Raw genomic sequence first — 17,609 nt, 5'->3', positions numbered from 1 at the left:
AGTTCTTTTCAAGACCTCTCAACCCTCATCTATTAGAGTTCCATAAAGTCCATTATTAGAATTTCTGTCTATAAAAATTATTTTCTCAATGACAAGCATTACCAAGAAATGAAGTCAGATCAGAATTGTGAGCAAGATAAATCTCACTAACATCCTTTACTAATTAGTTAAGTTCCTGACCTCCTTTGAACCCACTTCCTCATCTATGAAAGGATAACCCAGTGTTCAAGAACAGTTGGTTGATTAAACTTTCAATTTCCAACGAAAACTCACCCCAAATCACCACAATTTAATTGTGATTTCATTTATAAAATAATCTTTCTTTTCAATAGACCTTGGAAAAATGGTTGTGCTGAAAGGAAGGAAGGAAGGAGAAAAGAAAAGAAAAGGAAGAAGGAAGGAAGGAGAGAGAAAGAAAGAAGAAAGAAAAAGGAGAAAGAAAGAAAGAGAGAAAGAAAGAGAAAAAGAAAGAAAAGAGAAGAAGAAAGAAAGAAAAAGAAAGAAAGAAAGAGAAGAGAAGAGAAGAGAAGAGAAGGAAATCCAAAAACTAAAATACTAAACACTAAAAAGAGCGCAAGTAAAGCACCAAAGATACAGTTTCACTAAATCACAAAATCATCTCAAGATGGGAGGCCTTTTCTTTAAAACCTACATCACAGGTGGCAAAGACAGAAGTGTGGGAAAGGATATTAATACAAAGGATTTGACAATGTGGAAGGACACTAAAGCAATACGTTTATTGCCTGGGCAAAAATCTTTTCTCTGATGGTGCAATATTGCCTTAAGGCTTTATATACATCTTAAACACAATGGACTTTCAGGAGCACACAGAGCCCTAGGGCAACATTATGTTTAAGTAGTCATTACTGTATCTATAAACTATACAAAATGGAGGCACTGCATTCATATTTCATTTGTTTCTCACTTACAGAAGACAACCCCTGCCCCATCAACCAACTAGAAGAAGAACATGGTTGTGAGTCAACAGACTAACCACTAGCTCATAAGATTGTTCAAGGCTAAACAAGGACTATAGGAACAGTTATGTACCATTGACCTTTCCACCCCTCCTTGTCACCAACACCACTCCCACACACACATACTCATGTCCAGTATTTTTTGTTTAACTTAACAAAGGAGCAGAAGATATAATCAAAATATGTGTACAATTGTATACCATTCACTTCTCTATTAATTAAGGCTGGTGTCTTGCATTGTAGGACCCCCAGGGATTCCCCTAAGGCCCAACCTGTCACTAGCTCTTCATCACTTCTCTTCTACTGCTCAGTATCTTTTCTCCCTGATGCCCATATTGGAAATAAAAGTAAAAATAATTATAATGGATGAGTCTATTTTGGTTGTGCTTCAAAGTCTATAGAACAAAGCCCACAGAGAAAGAACATTACTAGGATTATTCCACATTTAACTGAGAGATCTATGGACTCCCAATTGAGAAAAAAATGGGCTAAACATCACAATGAATATTTATTGAGACTCACAGGTATGTTAATATGGGCTTTTGTTATTTTCCTCAGCAGTCACACTTCAGACAGATACAAAGGCATCATTTTTTTTTATTCTTGTGGGAAAAAGATGCAGGAGTAGAAGTCAAAAAGACAAGAATTCTGCTCCAGAATCTGATACATTCTGTTTGAACCTCCTTTGAGTTCTTTTCTCTGAACAAGGTTTATCTGAATGCTTCAAAGCATTATGGTGAGAATCAAGAGAGATCATGTATAGAAAAGTACATTATAATCTAACTATTATATGAATGTTAAACTATACATGAAGCCATTATATCATAAAATAAATACATTCTGGGACTTTAATGAATCAAGGTGAATATCACTATTGCAATTAATTCCTCCTACCTTATAAAATCTACAACAGCATTAAGTAACAGTAACAGAAGTAACGACATAATGAATGTTTAAAGCTTTCACAATCTGTGTGGTCAGCTATGCTCACTTACCAACAGTGTCTCACCACTACCCTTAAATCTCTCAGTACACATGACTCAAATCCATGCTTCAGCAAAAGCACAACAAATATAATTTTTCAGTATTGTTTATTAACATCAGAAACTGTCATGTCAAATCCCCCTGTGTCAAACAGCTAAAGTATGATGGCAGAGAGGGTGTTCCAATGACAGGTATAATTAACACAAAATGCCAAAACTTTTTCCAAATTACTTTTTCCTGGCTTATCAATTTTTATCCATCTCACAAGTGTGGCATAGTATAAGAGTACTTGGAGAACAGGGAATATCTCCTCCCTACATCCAAATTTCCAAAGTGGGAAGGGTAAGTATCCTATTATTGGAAACATGTTAAATCTATTGAAAGTAAATAAAACTATATAAGTTGTGGTTAAATGTATTTAAATGGGGGTATTGGAAATGCAAAATAAAAATAAAATAGATATATTAATTAAAAATTTGAAGAAAGCTAGTGAAAATAGAAAAAAATAAAATGCAAAATTTTTAGTATGTTAATTTAACAACTGACAATAACGCTTTAATCACTGTTTCCACCTCGAAGATATTTCTCATGCTGTCTATATACAATTGTTGATACTTGCCAACATCACATCATTCTGCCTCACTTGTGACATAGACTCATCTTAGGGTAGCTGGAAATTTCACAATAATAACAATTTTTCTGATAACTAGAATCAATATACAGGCATGGATCCATAAGCTATGTCTATAGTATGAGAGTCTTCCCTCAGTTGTATTTGATTGATTCAAGGTGGATACCTATTCCTAAATTCTGTCTCAGAAAAATTTATATTTTTGAACTGAGAGACACAAATTATTTTAAGTCAAGCATTGGTGCTGTGGAAAAATGTTCTATTAACTGAAGTCTCTAGAGTTTCCCCAGAATTTACTCTTCCCAAAGGCTAGTGTTTCAACTCTTCCTGGGAATCTACAAGATAGTCTAGCATATGTCCAATGAGTTCCTTTTTAACTTGTTATTTATGATTGACCTAGCCACTTGCAACCAAAATAATTTTAATATGGAAGTTCTTACACAAGTTTCTTTTTCCTTTGCTCATTGTAGTAGACAGAATTCTAAAATGACCCCCCAAGATTCTACTCCTTAATGTGCACAACCTATATAATTCCTTCCCCTTGAGTGGAGGCAGAACCTGTCAATATAATGGAATATCACTTCTATGATTAGGTTACTAATCAGTTGACTTCAACTTAATAAAAAAGAAGATTGTTTGGGTGGACCTAACTCAATTAAGTGAGCTCCTAAAGATGACTAGATCCTTCTTAAAGTTATAAAGATTTGGAGACCCATGTGACAAGGAACTGTGGGCAGCCCCTATGATCTGAGAGTGGTCCCTGGCTAGTAGCCAGCAGGAGTGTGGGGACCTCAGTCCTAAACTACAAGAACAGAGTTCTGACAACAACTGCCTGAGCTTGATAGAAGACTCCAGGCTCTAGGAAGGAAAGGAATTCAGTTAACACATTGGTTTATACCTTATGAGACCCTGAAAAAAGACCCAGCTAACCTGTGCCTACATTCCTGACTTATGAAAACTATGATAACAAATTTGTGTTGTTTTAAGCCACCCAGTTTGTGGAAGTTTGTTATGCAGGGATGGAAAATTGATAAGAGTTATCTAACATTTAGTCTGAGATTACTTATGGCTTTCCCCCCCCATCTTTGCAATTATTTGCAAACTGTCATAGCTCTTAGTGGTTATTTCACTGGAAAAAAAATCTCTTACTCCCTGCTCCCTATCTTCTTTCCCTTTCTCCCATTTCTCCTATCAACACCTCTGCCCAAACCTGGTTCAGCATTCCTGAGAGTTTGGACAAATAGGCAAGGACAGGAGAACTAACCAACTGTAGTTCAGAACCTCGGACAGCAGCTCTCCCCATACTGCCTACAGATCTCTCCCTCAACACCTGTGCTCTCCACCGTGACTGTCTTGTAAATGGCACCCTTGACCACATGAATTCAATTATTTTGTCTGTCATTCTTCCTGTTTTGTGCTCTATTTCCTGAGTACCTAAAGTCAGTAACCAGTGGAGGAATAAAAATTCTACACAGGTCAATGTTTGCTTCTGTCCCTCATTTATATCCCCTTTCCCCACGAAGTTGTCTATACTATTCCAGACTGCTAATTCCTCTAACATACTATGTTTTACAGTATTTGCATATGCTTCATACAGCTCATATAGATTACCTTAACTCCCCTCTTCCTATCTAATGTTCTTTCTTTCTAACATGATTATGATTAACTCCTTAAGTGAAGGAATTATATTTTGTACATTAATACAGCAGTAAGTATGGATCAATATATTTGTATTGGTTGAAGAGGCCATGCAAAATATTACCAACTTTAGTCTCAAACAAAAATACTTTAAAAATTGATGAGAATGGATTTTCACCCTCTGGTGCATACTACCCATATAAGAATCATCTACCCTTGAATGTGGGCAGAACCTGTGAGTATAATAAAAATTAAAACACCAAACTGATTTTATGGCAAATTCATTTATTAAATTTTATTCTAGACCAGGTCTAAAAAGATAAAGCCTAGATTTGAGGAAATAAGGGGATAAAACTCACGGACATTAACCAGTTCTATGCCCAAGCTTTCTCAAAAATCAAAATGATATGAGAACTATGGAGACAAAGGGTTGTATCAGAGAGAACAAAGCTACCTGAGGACCCTTTCTGTTTCCCAGGGGACAAAGCTCCTGAGGACCCTCCTACATTAGAGTGATGTGTTGGCCAGCAGTCAGCATGGGGAAAGGAACCAACAGATCAAAGTATCCAAAACAAGAGTCTCCAAAGATTTTATCTACTGCCCTATAGGAAGGGCCACATAAGTGCCTAGAAATAACTGATGCTTCCACGTAGGGCAGTAATTATGCTTCTTGGCAAGGAGCATTATACAGACTCATTGCAAGGGTTCTGGGCACAAAAGTCTTGCTTACGTGATTCCTTTATTTCAGATTGTGCAGCTTTAAAAAAAAGTCTAAACCTGCACTGCAGGAACTAGGAATTTTCTATTTCCATCAATTTAGGGGCTTCTGGAGGACAGTGGTGACCACATTCTACCACACATTTAAAGAAGTCAGTTCTTTTGTGACTGTATAGTCTTCTGGGCATTGACCAAAAGAAAATAGAATAGAAAATTGAAAGAAAGTGGTATATGTAAACATGTAATTATAATAAAACATGAGAAAGTGACACAATAAAAATATGAACAAATTGCTTTGGTGGAACAGAAAAAAGGGAACTAACTCTCCCTGGGGAAAGTTTTAAGTTGGAAGATAAATACCAGAACAAATTGGAAAGTCATGCAAATGGAAGTTAAAACATTTAGATCATTGTACAAATAATAGAAAGCAGAAAACAAAAACGAACAGTTTCTGAACTGAGACATTTAATGTGGGGGAAGAACTCAGAGCTCATTAAAAAGACTTCCTGTGCCAAGTAACTCATGAAGAACACTGAGGGTAAAGAGTCATTGTTACTGAGTTTGGAGTCACATAGCATTGCCTCTCTTTCCCCAGATCTTTTTCCATGTTTTATGCTCTATGGGATCAACTTTGAGTGGTGCTTTGTTTACATGTCAGCCTCGGATAGCATTGATCCAAGTGGACACCAACACAGAATTATAGAGGGAGCCACACTGAGTCAGCACTGGGACACAAGGACCAACAAAGGCACAATGGAAGTCATCATGTGCAGGAAGTATATGGGCGTAGGTGTGTGGCAAAAGATATCAACATGGCGTGTCAATGCCTGGGGAGAGTATGGACACAGAGAAGGTGGGTATATGCACAGAGAAGACAGAGGAAAAGGGACCAGTGTGAAAATGAATGGAAGAGAGACAAACTGAAGTGCAGATGCTAAGTTACAGAATACAGAAGGAGAAAGAGAAAGAGAAATAAACAGAATCCAAGAAGTAGATGTTAGCAGAGGCTCAAAAACAGAGAAAGAGTTAAAGATACCAGGCAGAGATTAACAGATTACTCACAATGCCAGCTCAGTAGAGTAGAACTTCACTGTTTGACTTTGAGTTTCACAAGACTGTCCATTCAGCATATTCTATGGAATGCCATGCCCTAGAAATATCTTTTCAGGCCAAGAAAAAACTGCTATCTTTCCTTCTACCTCGCCTTTCCAATGTGAGGTTTCAGCAATACTCCTCTGTATCTTGAAAGTATACACATAATAAGTAACCTATTATGATCACTCCGATATATTTTAAGAATTTCATTATTTTCTGACAAGGAAATTGAGAATTGTAGAGGGAAATATTCAGCCAATTATTTAAAGGCAACATGCCAACTGGGAAGAGAGGCACATTAATTATGCTCCTGTGATCAAGCAGCAATTCCTATTAAAGTAGCCAAGAGCTGGGCAGGCAGTATCTGTGGCTACATTTAGCTAACAGCCCATTTCTACTTTACATTTCCAGCCTAATCTGTAAAGCCAACGAGAAATGTCACAGCAGCAGCAGCAGGACTCCTGAAAGCAGCCACAACATACTGCTGTGGTCAAACCTTAGAGTCCTTTCTGGTCTTTGAAGACCTGCCACCGGGGAGGTGGAGACCAAGCCGCATGCCTTCTTGCTAACAAGAAGAAACTTACTCCAGTATAAAGAGAGAGGGACAACAGAAAAATAACATTTTCCCCTTTTTATTGCCATTTCTGTAGTCACCTTCTCTCCCAAGCCCTTACTGGGAAGGTGTGTCTGCTTTCTCCAAATACTATAAAGTCATAGTCTTCCAATTATATGAACCTATCTACAAGGGCAATTTGGCCTACTTACAGTGAAAGCTCATCAAATAGAAAAGAAAAATATGCCCGTTGACATAAAGAAAAAAATGATATTCCTTCATTTGGTCATTAGATTTATGATAACATATATGCTAATTCTTCTCCTAGATGAGTGGTTTTACTCTGGGTGAGTAAAACAGACCCAGGAGATCTCTGAAAAAATCATATCCCATAGTGAAACTAAAGCTTAGAGCCAAACAAAACCTTAATCTAAAGGAGGTAGGAAGAGAGGCATACATAAGAGAGGAAGCAATAGGAAAAAAGAAAGTAGGGTCCATCCTAGGATACTTCCTGGGTATAAGAGGGGGATTCAGGGCCTTCCTGCAGAGCTCATTATCCTCATCCACCAGAGCAGAGGAAGATCTAAGAGCCAGGCTATGTGGCACCACATCCCTGACTAGTAATTTTCTAGACATTGCTGAAGTTCTTGCAATGGTCAAAACCTCACAACTGTACTAGGCAACCCATTTCAATGCTGGACATCTTCAGTTACCAGAAAAGATGATCACAAGACCTGATTCAGGAAGTTCTGCCTTGTCTCTATCACTCTGCTAATCTTTCTGCAGCAGCAGACCTCACCTGTACTTTATATTCTTCTTCCTTCAGCCCAAGCCCTTTGTATTACTCTTGGTTTGATTTTTTTAAGTGCACTCCTGCTGGACTTTTGCTTTCCTTGACTGTTTTTCCAGGTGCCTGACATTCTTTTTATATTCACTTTTGATGCTCTTCTTGCTGTCTTCAGTGTGGGTCTATTAAAAAACTGAGCTTTTGGGTTCTCCCTGTGCCGCCACTTTAGTTTCTAACTAGATCCCCATTTTCCTTCTTTTCTAATTGTGAATACACAATTGCATTTGGAATTATATTTATTTTTCAAATGTTCCAACTTTCTGAGTCACAGGATAGCATTTTATTAGAGTGTTTATTGTGGAAGCAAGGATAACATTATATCACAGTGAAAAGATACATTATAGATCCTGAGGTGCACAGAGGGCATGGATTGATGGCCAAATGAGTACTACAATAGACATCCCCTTCTAGGTACCCCTTCAGGAGAGTTATTGCATAAAACAGAACAACAGCACCACATGAGAAGCGGATGCTGAGCTACGCCCACTCACTGGCTAAGTGGTTTGTTTCTGCTGACCAGGCTTTCGAGATGAGTGATTCTAATTATTGCTTCAACAAAATCACAAATCTCAATGAGTCATGGATATTTGGGTGGCTTTAGAGTAGTTAAAATCACAGATGTCAAATTCACAAATGTTAAAAGCCAACAGCAGGGATCAAAACACAAATGTTTATAGGAGCCAGGCAGGAAATGAGTAACTCAGGATGGATGCAAGACAATAGAGAGTTGTGAAGACTATGTTTAATTGGGAAGAGATAATAATCACTAGCAGAGCAAACATTGATATAGCACCTATTTTGTACCAAGCATGGTTTGAGGAGATTTAGAGATATTGATTTACTTAATCCACAAAAAAAGCCATACGACGCAGTTCCCTTATTATCCTCTAATTTAAAAGTAGAAAAACTGAAACACAATGAATTAAAATTATGAGCACATCCCCCGTATAAATGGGGCATCTACTACTCAAGTACAACTAATTGTTGTCATTAAGATCAGGGATCCAATGTTGTCAAATCTTCTGATTTTACAGAGAAGCTAGGAATTCAAATTTGTATGTTAAATCTTAGTTTAAGATTATGACTTGTAATCTTTAAATATAGTAGCCATATGTAGTCAAACATTTCCTGCACTAAGCCCAGGACACTAGTTTGTGTTTCTGGTATACAATTCACATTTATAGGCATCTTCCACAAGAATGATATCTCTGCAGTTAACACTTTCTGCATTTCCTTTCTGGAAAACTCAGGAATAACAAGATAAAGGATTCCTTAGGGATAAAAACAACAACAACAACAACAACAACAACAAGTTAATGGAATTTCTGGCCCATAAGTGCTTTGAGTAGATGCACACACCCCACTGTTGCTATGTAAGACCACAGTTTCTGAATTCCAGAATGGCAGAAAAAACTATGTGTAGAGCAGGTAAAAGTAAATCAATAGATTAAAAGCATCTTCAATAACTAAACTTTTCAAATTCCTTTCTGAATCACCTACAACCCAAGTCATTACAACCATCTCTACCTTCTTTCCCTCCTCTGATCAACTCCCAAATAAGTGGTGCTGAAGCCACAGAACTGCGTTTGAGGCTACCTACAGTTCCAGTCCACTCAATTCCCACACACCAAAAAACTCTCCAACTATCCCAGGATTAGAGTTATACTCCAAAAAGCCCCTTCTGGATATCTCTACATTTCCAGAGAAGTGATTATTCCTCTTAGGAAGAGCATACAATGCAAGCACAGAAAAGGTCATAGAGTTCAGATCCTTTGTTTTAAGGTTAAAATAATTAAGGCTTAGGAAGACACAGCAATTTGTGGAAGGGTTTATTCTACTAAGCAATCTGTGAGCCTCATTCCAGTGTTCTATCAGTTGACTAGTTGGTTTACTATTTTGGACACTTCAAAGAGAATTTTAGTGTACCATGAAGGCAAATAAGTGCAAAATCTAAGTAGTTTTTAGTTAATTGATTTAATGCTTTTCCCCAGTAGTGATTTCCCCCTTTTTTTCCTCCTGGCTAACCACTACAAATTATTCAAAGACAAACCATTGCTCCTTCCATGAAGCCTTCCAAGACACTCTTTCTTCACATTATGTTCAACTGAGATGTATTTTCTTTGTGCATTCTACATCTACTTTTATCATCTTTCTCATCATACTGTACTACAATGACCCTCTAGGTGTTGGCCCTGGTCCCCTCAACTCCTGCCTCCTAAAGACAATGAATGGACCTTTTTATTGTAACCTAAGGCCCAGCAAGTTACTGACAGATACATAGCGAGCTGTCATAAAAAGAGTTAGTTTAATGAATAAATGAGTAGATCACTTTCTGTCTCCTTTGGGAGACAGAAGAGACAGCTGATATCTCTACCAAGATGCAGAATATCTGAGACTGAACACTGCCACATAGGAAAGAAAGGACTTCCTAAGTGACCTTATTCTTTGAGGGATATAGAAAATGACTCTCTGTTCCCAGACAATTTCTTTCTATGATGATAGACTCTTAATGAAAGTGCAATTGTTTTACCAAGAATGGCTCATCAAACATCTGCAATACTCATTATTTTTTATAGATAATCTCTTTGGAGGTGAACTCTGGTACAAGGGGCATAAGAGGAAAGAAAAAAAAAAGAATTTCCTGGGTTTGACCCTTGTATAGGGTAGGCCCTTGTACTGGGCTTGCTTGCCTGCTAAGAATTAGCTACTGGGGTGTCAGAAACCTGTAATATGTTTGACTAATAGTGTTTTGACGCATTTTGTGCACACTTTGTTTTCTTATTGCTCTTTTGTTTTTCTCTGGGTTCTTTAGCAAAGTTTATTTTCTAAAATTCATCTGGTCTCAGCTTTATAAAGGCAAAGATAATAATTTCCCTAACACCAGTGTCATAAAGAAAGGGAGAGCAGTAGCACCAACAGAAATAAAAATAAAAGAACCTCAAAGGCCTGTATACCTATCCTTTGAAAACCAAGAAAAGACAACTTAAAGAAGATAGAAATAAGATGTGTCATATACCTCCTGAATATGTTTTGTACTTAGTCCTTTCTTTAACTCTTCATGCTCACAACCTCAATTCAGAAGCTTATCTTTTCCAATTTGAGTCATTTCATTAACTCCTCACTGGTCTCCCAGGCTCCACGTCTCACCTGCATTTTCTAATCCATTCACCATGCTTTGGAATGATCTCGCTGAAAAATTATATTACCGCTGACCAAGTTAAGCTTCAGCACCACTGTCTTACTTAAAATATTTAATGTTAAAACACCAACTCAAACACTATCAAAACAATCTTTTAACATTTTCTATGAGGCCAATATTACCCTGATATCAAAACCAGGCAAAGATATCACAAGAAATGAAAGTACAGACCAATATCCCTCATAAATATAGACGCAAAAATCACCAATAACAAAATATTATTAGCAAACTGAGCCCAACAACATGTAAATAGGATTATACACCACAATATGGGTTTACCCCAGAAGAAAAGTTGCTTCCACATATAAAAAGCAATCAATACAGCACATGAATCAAATAATGGACAAAAACCATGTTATTATCTTGACAGACAATGAAAAAGCATGTGTCAAAATCCAACAACTTTGCATGATAAAAACACTTAAACTAGGAATAGAAGAGAACTTCTTTAACTTGATAAAGGACATCGATGAAACACTCACAGCTAATGTCATACTTGATGGTGAAACATCGAATGTCGGGAGGAGCCAAGATGGCCGAATAGGAACAGCTCCGGTCTACAGCTCCCAGCGTGAGCGACGCAGAAGACGGGTGATTTCTGCATTTCCATCTGAGGTACTGGGTTCATCTCACTAGGGAGTGCCAGACAGTGGGCGCAGGTCAGTGGGTGCAGCGCACCTAGCGGGAGCCGAAGCAGGGCAAGGCATTGCCTCACTCAGGAAGTGCAAGGGGTCAGGGAGTTCCCTTTCCTAGTCAAAGAAAGGGGTGATAGACGGCACCTGGAAAATCCGGTCCCTCCCACCCGAATACTGCGCTTTTCCGACGGGCTTAAAAAAGCGGCGCACCAGGAGATCATATCCTGCACCTGGCTCGGAGGGTCCTACGTCCACGGAGTCTCGCTGATTGCTAGCAGGGCAGTCTGAGATCAAACTGCAAGGCGGCAGCGAGGCTGGGGGAGGGGCGCCCACCATTGCCTAGGCTTGCTTAGGTAAACAAAGCAGCCGGGAAGCTCCAACTGGGTGGAGCCCACCACAGCTCAAGGAGGCCTGCCTGCCTCTGTAGGCTCCACCTCTGGGGGCAGGGCACAGACAAACAAAAAGACAGCAGTAACCTCTGCAGACTTAAATGTCCCTGTCTGACAGCTTTGAAGAGAGCAGTGGTTCTCCCAGCACGCAGCTGGAGATCTGAGAACAGGCAGACTGCCTCCTCAAGTGGGTCCCTGACCCCTGACCCCCGAGCAGCCTAACTTGGAGGCACCCCCCAGTAGGGCAGACTGACACCTCACACGGCCGGGTACTCCTCTGAGACAAAACTTCCAGAGGAACGATCAGACAGCAGCATTCGCGGTTCACGAAAAACCACTGTTCGGCAGACACTGCTGCTGATACCCAGGCAAACAGGGTCTGGAGTGGACCTCTAGCAAACTCCAACAGACCTGCAGCTGAGGGTCCTGTCTGTTACAAGGAAAACTAACAAACAGAAAGGACATCCACACCAAAAACCCATCTGTGCATCACCATCATCAAAGACCAAAAGTAGATAAAACCACAAAGATGAGGAAAAAACAGAGCAGAAAAACTGGAAACTCTAAAAAGCAGAGCACCTCTACTCCTCCAAAGGATCGCAGTTCCTCACCAGCAATGGAACAAAGCTGGACGGAGAATGACTTTGACGAGTTGAGAGAAGAAGGCTTCAGACGATCAAACTACGAGCTACAGGAGGAAATTCAAACCAAAGGCAAAGAAGTTAAAAACTTTGAAAAAAATTTAGACGAATGTATAACTAGAATAACCAATATAGAGAAGTGCTTAAAGGAGCTGATGGATCTGAAAGCCAAGGCTCGAGAACTACGTGAAGAATGCAGAAACCTCAGGAGCTGATGCGATCCACTGGAAGAAAGGGTATCAGTGATGGAAGATGAAATGAATGAAATGAAGCGAGAAGGGAAGTTTAGAGAAAAAAGAATAAAAAGAAATGAACAAAGCCTCCAAGAAATATGGGACTATGTGAAAAGACCAAATCTACGTCTGATTGGTGTACCTGAAAGTGACGGGGAGAATGGAACCAAGTTGGAAAACACTCTGCAGGATATTATCCAGGAGAACTTCCCCAATCTAGCAAGTCAGGCCAACATTCAGATTCAGGAAATACAGAGAACGCCACAAAGATACTCCTCGAGAAGAGCAACTCCAAGACACATAATTGTCAGATTCACCAAAGTTGAAATGAAGGAAAAAATGTTAAGAGCAGCCAGAGAGAAAGGTCGGGTTACCCACAAAGGGAAGCCCATCAGACTAACAGCAGATCTCTTGGCAGAAACTCTACAAGCCAGAAGAGAGTGGGGGCCGATATTCAACATTCTTTAAGAAAAGAATTTTCAACCCAGAATTTCATATCCAGCCAAACTAAGCTTCATAAGTGAAGGAGAAATAAAATACTTTACAGACAAGCAAATGCTGAGAGATTTTGTCACCACCAGGCCTGCCCTAAAAGAGCTCCTGAAGGAAACACTAAACATGGAAAGGAACAACCGGTACCAGCTGCTGCAAAATCATGCCAAAATGTAAAGACCATCAAGACTAGGAAGAAACTGCATCAACTAATGAGCAAAATAACCAGCTAACATCATAATGACAGGTTCAGATTCACACATAACAATATTAACTTTAAATGTAAATGGACTAAATGCTCCAATTAAAAGACACAGACTGGCAAATTGGATAAAGAGTCAAGACCCATCAGTGTGCTGTATTCAGGAAACCCATCTCACATGCAGAGACACACATAGGCTCAAAATAAAAGGATGGAGGAAGATCTACCAAGCAAATGGAAAACAAAAAAAGGCAGGGGTTGCAATCCTAGTCTCTGATAAAACAGACTTTAAGCCAGCAAAGATCAAAAGAGACAAAGAAGGCCATTACATAATGGTAAAGGGATCAATTCAACAAGAAGAGCTAACTATCCTAAATATATATGCACCTAATACAGGAGCACCCAGATTCATAAAGCAAGTTCTGAGTGACCTACAAAGAGACTTAGACTCCCACACAATAATAATAGGAGACTTTAACACCCCACTGTCAACATTAGACAGATCAACGAGACAGAAAGTCAACAAGGATACCCAGGAATTGAACTCAGCTCTGCACCAAGCAGACCTAATAGACATCTACAGAACTCTCCACCCCAAATCAACAGAATATACATTTTTTTCAGCACCACACCACACCTATTCCAAAATTGACCACATACTTGGAAGTAAAGCTCTCCTCAGCAAATGTAAAAGAACAGAGATTATAACAAACTATCTCTCAGACCACAGTGCAATCAAACTAGAACTCAGGATTAAGAAACTCACTCAAAACCACTCAACTACATGGAAACTGAACAACCTGCTCCTGAATGACTACTGGGTACATAACAAAATGAAGGCAGAAATAAAGATGTTCTTTGAAACCAACGAGAACAAAGACACAACATACCAGAATCTCTGGGACACATTCAAAGCAGTGTGTAGAGGGAAATTTATAGCACTAAATGCCCACAAGAGAAAGCAGGAAAGATCCAAAATTGACACCCTAACATCACAATTAAAAGAACTAGAAAAGCAAGAGCAAACACATTCAAAAGCTAGCAGAAGGCAAGAAATAACTAAAATCAGAACAGAACTGAAGGAAATAGAGACACAAAAAACCCTTCAAAAAATTAATGAATCCAGGAGCTGGTTTTTTGAAAGGATCAACAAAATTGATAGACCACTAGCAAGACTAATAAAGAAAAAAAGAGAGAAGAATCAAATAGATGCAATAAAAAATGATAAAGGGGATATCACCACCGATCCCACAGAACTACAAACTACCATTAGAGAATACTACAAACACCTCTATGCAAATAAACTAGAAAATCTAGTAGAAAATCTAGAAGAAATGGATAAATTCCTCGACACATACACTCTCCCAAGACTAAACCAGGAAGAAGTTGAATCTCTGAATAGACCAATAACAGGAGCTGAAATTGTGGCAATAATCCATAGCTTACCAACCAAAAAGAGTCCAGGACCAGATGGATTCACAGCCGAATTCTACCAGAGGTACAAGGAGGAACTGGTACCATTCCTTCTGAACTATTCCAATCAATAGAAAAAGAGGGAATCCTCCCTAACTCATTTTATGAGGCCAGCATCATCCTGATACCAAAGCCGGGCAGAGACACAAGCAAAAAAGGGAATTTTAGACCAATATCCTTGATGAACACTGATACAAAAATCCTCAATAAAATACTGGAAAACTGAATCCAGCAGCACATCAAAAAGCTTATCCACCATGATCAAGTGGGCTTCATCCCTGGGATGCAAGGCTGGTTCAATATACGCAAATCAATAAATGTAATCCAGCATATAAACAGAACCAAAGACAAAAACCACATGATTATCTCAATAGATGCAGAAAAGGCCTTTGACAAAATTCAACAACCTTTCATGCTAAAAACTCTCAATAAATTAGGTATTGATGGGACATATCTCAAAATAATAAGAGCTATCTATGACAAACCCACAGCCAATATCATATTGAATGGGCAAAAACTGGAAGCATTCCCTTTGAAAACTGGCACAAGACACAGATGCCCTCTCTCACCACTCCTATTCAACATAGTGTTGGAAGTTATGGCCAGGGCAATCAGGAAGGAGAAGGAAATAAAGGGTATTCAATTAGGAAAAGAGGAAGTCAAATTGTCCCTGTTTGCAGACAACATGATTGTATATCTAGAAAACCCCATTGTCTCAGCCCAAAATCTCCTTAAGCTGATAAGCAACTTCAGCAGTCTCAGGATACAAAATCAATGTACAAAAATCACAAGCATTCTTACACACCAATAACAGACAAACAGAGAGCCAAATCATGAGTGAACTCCCATTCACAATTGCTTCAAAGAGAATAAAATACTTAGGAATCCACCTTACAAGGGACGTGAAGGACCTCTTCAAGGAGAACTACAAACCACTGCTCAACGAAATAAAAGAGGATACAAACAAATGGAAGAACATTCCATGCTCATGGGTAGGAAGAATCAATATCGTGAAACTGGCCATACTGCCCAAGGTAATTTATAGATTCAGTGCCATCCCCATCAAGCTACCAATGACTTTCTTCACAGAATTGGAAAAAACTACTTTAAAGTTCATATGGAACCAAAAAAGAGCCTGCATTGCCAAGTCAATCCTAAGCCAAAAGAACAAAGCTGGAGGCATCACGCTACCTGACTTCAAACTATACTACAAGGTTACAGTAACCAAAACAGCATGGTAGTGTTACCAAAACAGAGATATAGATCAGTGGAACAGAACAGAGCCCTCAGAAATAATGCCGCATATCTACAACTATCTGATCTTTGACAAACCTGAGAAAAACAAGCAATGGGGAAAGGATTCCCTATTTAATAAATGGTGCTGGGAAAACTGGCTAGCCATATGGAGAAAGCTGAAACTGGATCCCTTCCTTATGCCTTATACAAAAATCAATTCAAGATGCATTAAAGACTTAAACATTAGACCTAATACCATAAAAACCCTAGAAGAAAACCTAGGCATTACCACTTAGGACATAGGCACGGGCAAGGACTTCATGTGTGAAACACCAAAAGCAATGGCAACAAAAGCCAAAATTGACAAATGGGATCTAATTAAACTAAAGAGCTTCTGCACAGCAAAAGAAACTACCATCAGAGTGAACAGGCAACCTACAAAATGGGAGAAAATTTTCGCCACCTACTCATCTGACAAAGGGCTAATATCCAGAATCTACAATGAACTCCAACAAATTTACAAGAAAAAAAACAAAGAACCCCATCAAAAAGTGGGCAAAGGACATGAACAGACACTTCTCAAAAGAAGACATTTATGCAGCCAAAAAACACATGAAAAAATGCTCACCATCACTGGCCATCAGAGAAATGCAAATCAAAACCACAATGAGATATCATCTCACATCAGTTAGAATGGCAATCATTAAAAAGTCAGGAAACAACAGGTGCTGGAGAGGATGTGGAGAAATAGGAACACTTTTACACTGTTGGTGGGACTGTAAACTAGTTCAACCATTGTGGAAGTCAGTGTGGCGATTCCTCAGGGATCTAGAACTAGAAATACCATTTGACCCAGCCATCCCATTACTGGGTATATACCCAAAGGACTATAAATCATGCTGCTATAAAGACACATGTACACGTATGTTTATTGCAGCACTATTCACAATAGCAAAGACTTGGAACCAACCCAAATGTCCAACAAGGATAGACTGGATTAAGAAAATGTGGCACATATACACCATGGAGTACCATGCAGCCATAAAAAATGATGAGTTCGTGTCCTTTGTAGGGACATGGATGAAATTGGAAATCATCATTCTCAGTAAACTATCGCAAGAACAAAAAACGAAACACCGCATATTCTCACTCATAGGTGGGAATTGAACAATGAGAACACATGGACACAGGAAGGGGAACATCACACTCTGGGGACTGTTGTGGGGTGGAGGGAGGGGGAGGGATAGCATTGGGAGATATACCTAATGCTAGATGACGAGTTAGTGGGTGCAGCACACCAGCATGTCACATGTATACATATGTAACTAACCTGCACATTGTGCACATGTACCCTAAAACTTAAAGTATAATAATAAAATAAAATAAAATAAAAAGACTGAATGTCTTATTCTAATATAAGGAAGACGGGGTTATACACTCTTGCTACTCCTATTCAACACTGATTGGAGATTTTAGCTAGGGAAACTAGGCACGAAAAGGAAGTAAGAGGCATCCAGATTGGAAAGAAAGAAGTTAAACCATGTTTTTAGATGACATGATCTTGCACATAGAACATTCTAAGGAATCTATCAAAAACTATGAAAACTAACAAATGACTTTGGCAGTGTTGTAAGATACAAGACAAATATGAAAAAATTAAGTGTATA

The 17,609-nt window shown here is 38.9% G+C and overlaps 1 annotated feature.

Moving 5' to 3' along the window:
- Positions 10,896–11,494: an enhancer, noted in NCBI's record as "NANOG-H3K27ac-H3K4me1 hESC enhancer chr3:115036984-115037582 (GRCh37/hg19 assembly coordinates)". NCBI's record gives its function as "activates a minimal SCP1, AML or CMV promoter by ChIP-STARR-seq in naive H9 embryonic stem cells {active_cell/tissue: H9 hESC(naive)}" and the evidence as "EXISTENCE:reporter gene assay evidence [ECO:0000049][PMID:30033119]".

Source organism: Homo sapiens, chromosome 3, assembly GCF_000001405.40.
Source record: "Homo sapiens chromosome 3, GRCh38.p14 Primary Assembly".
Classification (NCBI taxonomy): domain Eukaryota; kingdom Metazoa; phylum Chordata; class Mammalia; order Primates; family Hominidae; genus Homo; species Homo sapiens.
This window is presented reverse-complemented; position numbering and strand designations above follow the sequence as displayed.